The sequence below is a fragment of the Homo sapiens genome, chromosome 18 (genome assembly GCF_000001405.40).
Source record: "Homo sapiens chromosome 18, GRCh38.p14 Primary Assembly".
NCBI lineage: Eukaryota > Metazoa > Chordata > Mammalia > Primates > Hominidae > Homo > Homo sapiens.
In genome coordinates this window covers 5,727,911-5,733,916 of record NC_000018.10, presented here as the reverse complement: position 1 = coordinate 5,733,916, position 6,006 = coordinate 5,727,911, and the positions used below count along the sequence as shown (strand labels likewise).

The 6,006-nt window shown below is 44.3% G+C and overlaps 1 annotated feature.

Moving 5' to 3' along the window:
• Nucleotides 1-533: an enhancer, noted in NCBI's record as "NANOG hESC enhancer chr18:5733383-5733915 (GRCh37/hg19 assembly coordinates)". NCBI's record gives its function as "activates a minimal SCP1, AML or CMV promoter by ChIP-STARR-seq in naive H9 embryonic stem cells {active_cell/tissue: H9 hESC(naive)}" and the evidence as "EXISTENCE:reporter gene assay evidence [ECO:0000049][PMID:30033119]".

Below are 6,006 nucleotides of genomic sequence, written 5' to 3'. Positions count from 1 at the left end.
CATTCTGCCTCCTTGATAAGCTAAAAATCAAAAACAAAAACAACTCCTTTTACTACTATTGCTACCATTATCACTATTACTTTTTCCACAAATTTAATCTGTTCTGTACTCCCACAATGCACATACAAGACTAGAGTTTTTTTTGGAAAGAAAACAACATCTGCAAGTGCAAGACAAGAAAGCAAATATTAAGTAAAATGGAATTTGCAATGTAGTAGGGAGCTTTCTGCTCAGATTTATAACATCAAAGCAAGGCATTCCGGTTGATGTGTTACTTGTTATTCTAAGGCCTATTCTTCACTCACTGGGAGAGGTGTTGAACCATGACACAGAGTCATGCTGTGCCAATGACCAGCAGAGAAAACGAAAGCTGTAGCCTCAAGATGGTACCTTCTGAAGACCTTCTGCGGGTCTTCATCAGCCAGTCTACAGAATCAGAGTGAGCACACGGGATTTTAACTGTCATAAGCTCTGGGCTGGGGTTGGGACACTTGCATCTTTCTCCTAGCTCTGCCCTCAGAGATGTGCATCTTTGCAGAAGTCATGTCTCTGAAAGCTGAATCTTACAAGTCAGAACATGTGACTGTGGGCTCTCATGTCCTTCAGTGAAGGGAGATAGTTGGACGCTCTGTGAGTTTCAACTTCCTTCCTGTTCCGCCCCTGCTCTTCAATCCAAACCAACAAGGAGAGGCCAAAAACAGGGGTCTGGGTCAAACATGGCTGGATCCTGGCCCAGCTCCAGCTTGTCTTGTAACCTTGGGAAGCTCTCTGCCTCTCTGAACCTTAATTTCCTTCTCTTTAAGGGGGAAAAACAACAATTCTTTTCCCATAGTGCCCTTATGGAATTAAATGTGATAATAGAGGTATAGGGTGGCCACACTGCCTGGCACAGAGTAAGTTTTAGTAAGTTTCCACAAACTTGATGTTCATGCATTTCCTCATTTCTTTTATGCCAGCAGAGGCCATGGAGGAAGAAGGGCTGGTGAGGGCTGCCTCAGAAGTGTTACCTCATGGACTTACAGCTACTAGTTTGCTGAATCCTCTGGGGAGGAGCTGGGTGGGGGAGTGAGCATGGGCATCATTGGGGCAAAACTCCCCTACCTGAAAAGATAGAACCACAGAGAAACAGTGCTGATGTGGACTGCACGTTCTACAAAGACAGCCTAGATGGTTAAGCAACCTGGTGGCCTGCTCTGGGGGAGCCTGGAGGAGACGAGATGAACCGCTCACAGCTGTAAATACGCATTCTGCCCCTAGAGCTGTTGGCAAGGGCTACGCACACACATACACACATGCACACATGTTCACACAATTCACACACATGCTCTCACACATACCCACACATTCACATACACAAGCTTACTCATACACTCACACACATGCTCACACACACACATATCCTCCCACCACATGTTCACACACTCTCACACACACATGCCCTCTGTCCCAAACACATACGCTCACACATACAGGCTCAACCACACATGCTCACATACACACTCATATATGGCTCACAAACACATGCCCTCTCCCACGTGCAAACATGCTCTCACACACAAGCTCATACACGCTCACACACATGTTTTCACACCCACCCTTTGGCACATTCACATGCTCATACACATTCACACCACGCATGCCTTCCCCTACACACATAAATGCTCACACCCTCACATAATGCTGTCACACACATTAACACCATTAACACGCATGCTCACACACACTGGGAGACACATGCGCTCATGGTTGGAGCTCTAACCAGGCTGGACTCATCTGGTTGCTGGTTCTGGCAAAGTTACAGTCACGTTCATTATTCATAAACTATAGTAAATGTCCATGCTGCTTTACAATGGATGAGGCTGATCTGAATAATAACAATAACCAGACAAAAAGGCCACATTCTTGCCCCAAGGAACTTACAGTTTGAACCCTGACTCATTAAGACTGAGGCTAGACCTGCGCTAGCCTCCTGGCACCTAGAAATGATCTCTCTATATACTATAAACTCCTAGTAGAGAGGTGCAGATGCAGTTGTGTACAGCTTTTCCAGGAGGATGTTGAAGTTTTATAAGTAGCGGCTAAAGTTGTGTGAATCTATTGCTATCTCAGTTAAAAAAAAAAAAAAAAAAAGGCCAGGCGCAGTGGCTCACGCCTGTAATCCCAGCATTTTGGGAGGCCGAGGCGGGCAGATTACGAGGTGAGGAGATGGAGACCATCCTGGCTAACACAGTGAAACCCTGTCTTTACTAAAAATACAAAAAATTAGCCAGGCGTACTGGCGGGCGCTTGTAGTCCCAGCTACTTGGGAGGCTGAGGCAGAAGAATGGCGTGAACCCAGGAGGCGGAGCTTGCAGTGAGCTGAGATGGGCCACTGCACTCCAGCCTGGGTGACAGAGTGAGACTGTCTCAAAAAAAAAAAAAAAAAAAAAAAAAGGAAGACTTAGAGAAAATAAATGTGGCCCAGTGCTAAATGTTCTCTGGCATCTGGGAACTTTCATCCAGTCTAGAAATTCATGGCTTCTAGGTGTCTCCTTTCAGGAATGAGAATGGCTAAAGACAGAGCATGGCTATGGGCCAGGCAGGTCCACACATCCTGCATGGTCTCCTCTGTTTCTTAGAAAAACTCTGTGAGTTAGGCAGGCTCCATTCTTCGGGCCATGGAGCGGTGCCCTGCATGCCCAAGATCATAGCAGGAGGCAAAGCTTTAACCGGAGCCCCCTGCTCCAAAGCCCTCCCAGTACACCATGCTACTGCCTCGTCCTTGGACTATATAGTACAATTGCAAATATTCGTCTTTTTCTTGTTCTTCCAGTTCATCTACTTGCTCAAATCCAACAGGAAAACTATAAGGAGGTACTGCAGTTGAGTCAGGGAAGACATTCAACACAGGCAATATACATTATTATCAGCTCTGCTCGCAGAAGGGAAACAGAGTGCCCTCCCAGGCTACACTGGGCTGATTCACCCAGTGTGAAAGTGCACATGGCTGAGGTGATCATTCCAGGGTCAGTCTTAGAGGGTCAGGAGGGGTTGGAGGAAAAGGGCAGTTAGCCTGACTCTACATTATTGCTTAGGGCAAATGATAACATCAACAAACACACTTATTGATTGACTGATGGACTACCCTCAGCCAGTCCCTGCAAGTGTGTATAACACTTATCCCCAAAAAGAGCTGTCCAAGCCAGGCACAGTGGTTCATGTCTGTAGTCCCTGCTGCTCAGGAGGCTGAGGTGGGAGGATTGCTTGAGGCCAGGAGTTCGAGGCCAGCCTGGGCAACATAGACAGACCCTGTTTCAAAATAAATAAACACAATAAAAATGTGTGTGTTTTTTTTTTAAAGAGCTATTTCCAAGTGGTGGATGGATCAGAAGCATAGGCAGAGTTCAAGCCTGCTTGGGAGGCACTGTTTTGGGAGTTACAACACCTCAGTCCCCAAATAAACATTCTTCTGCTGGCTCATCCTTGAACTTCCACTCTCTGAGCTCCCTGACTTTAGCCTCCTTCATTCACATTGCTGATTTGGATGGTACCCCATGGCAGGCCCAAGGCTGGGCTGGGGATACAGGTAGGGAGGTGAGAGTCTGCCTACTGTCCCAGGAGGGAGACAGCAATGGAAGCATAAGAGTGAGCCAGGAAGGCAGCAAGGGTGGAAATGTGCAGGAGGAAGGGAGTTGTCAGCAGAGACGTGTATGAGCTCAGCCTGAAATGGGCTCAGAGGATGAAGCCAGGCGGGGAGCCAGGTCCCAAGACTCTGCTCTGCTGGGCGGAGGATTCTGGAAGGGGAAGATGTTGCACAAGGGAGTGATATCACTGCATTCGTATGTTAAAATGCAAATGAGGACGAAATTGAGGAGATTGGACTATGTAATCTATTATGTCACTTCTGTTCTAATGTGATAAACATCCTTAGAGGGGTAATGATTTTGAAACAAGTTATGTATTCTTTGGAGTGAATAAGAGATCTAGTTTTTATAAAAAGGACTAGTTTTGATATCCAGAGAGGAAGAATAACAAAACAGGTGTGAGCACCTAAGAGAAGTGGAAAAGGGAGGAGATAATGGAAAAAAGGTGGAAATTGTGTAGGAGAAACACATGATTTTCTTACTCCCATCTGGCCAGCCGTGGTAACAGGAGGGACATAAATTATATAAACTCATTAGTTTTACTTTAGCAGAAATTATTATTTTATGAATTTAAAACCCAGTTTTAATCAAAAATACAGTATTATAACAATGGCAGTAATAGACACTGGACACTACTAGAAAGAGGAGGTGGAGGGGGAAGGGTATTGGGTACTGTGCTCAGTACCTGGGTGATAAGATCAGTCATACCCCAAACCACCGCACATCATGCAATACACTTGGGTAACAAAGCTGCACATGTACCCCCTGAATCTAAAATAAAAGTTGAAATAAACAAATCATAACGTATATTTAAAAAAATATTTATAGCGGAATTAGTCCTACATGAAAGATAAAATTTGAAGGAAGTTTTTGTACTTTTGGTTTAGTATAGTCCCCTGAAGAAATTATTAAAGTTGAATTTACTCATACAGTTAGTTGAAGGGCAGTTAAAGTCTGTCAAGCAATCGTCAGCCAGCCTGTAACTGTTTCTGGTGTTGGCTTCTGAAGGTTTTTGGTTTGTATGGGAAGTACAGCCTTAACATGGCAGAGGAAAAGTATGAGTCCGTGAATTTTCACCAAGTGTGTACCACGCAGCAGGCACCATGGCAGGTCCAGAAGATGGGGTGCTGAGCAAGAGAGGGATGGCCTGAAACCTCCTGGCTCTCAAACTCCAGTTAGGGAAATTGAATAACTCAATTAAATAAAAAGGTGAATAGAATCACCAGCACTGAGAACGAAAAGCTAAGAGACAGTTTAACAAGGTAGCAGGATGCATGGACACCAATTTCACATAAGGAGGTCAAGAAAGGCTTCAAAAGGAAGTGGTACTTAAGCTAAGAACTGGACTGAAAAAAGAACCAGCTTGGGGTAGTGGGAGAAAAAGTGGTCTGAGCAGAGAAAAAGCTTGTGTAAAGCAACGCCATGGTGGCTGAGCTTGGGAGAAGCAGGAGGTACAGAAGGAGGTCGGAGGAAGAAAGCCATCAAAACCGTGGAAGATGAAAGCCAACTGGTAAGTGTGAAGAGTTGGCCTTCACCCCAGCAGGCTTGCTGTGAAGGGGATCTTCAATTCTCTGATAACAGTGTGGAGTCTGTTGTTTACAGTGTGGAGTCTGTTGTTTACATGACTGTACGCATCTCAAAACTCATCAGTTAACACAAAAGACCATTCCCCGTGGTAAAATATTCCTTAACACTGTCTTAAGTAATTTGGAAAAACAAACAAATGGGAAATGCTGAGAGTTAATTCTTAGTGGGCCAATCAATATTCCATTATGATTGTATAGAGCGAACAGGAGATCAAAAAATTCTGCCGGAAAAAAATAAACAAGCATGCACAGGAAATTTGGATGAAATGACAGATCTGTCCTATTATTTCCCGTGAATTGATGACATTGCAACTGAATTTAATTTTGTGTTCAGAGATGAAGGAATTCTGTAATCTTTTTCTTTTTCTTAAAAAGAAAGAGAAACCCACTCTCAGGTTCCAGATTGCTCACCCTTAGGGAAATGTTACTGAACTGCCAGGAGGAAGGAGCTTCCAAGGAAATAAGTAGAGCGTAAACTGCCCCTGAAGTATGGATGTCTTTCTACATCTGAGATTCAGAAAAGGAGCTCTCAAATTGTGTGTGGGAATAAAAATAGGCTTCAGTTATCAGTTTGAGGTACATAGAAATGAAAGAACTCTCTCTGATACCTTGTAATTTTACTCTACATTTTCCTCACTTCCCAAAAATCAAGGCAGCCATCCTATTACCATCTGAACTGCTTAACTGGCTAGAGGGGTTATCAGTTTTAGGGAGTATATTAGTCCCCATTTAGTATCTAAGTCATTGCTTTCCTAAGGCTCAAAGCCATAACCTTACAACCAGGTCATGGTGAACGC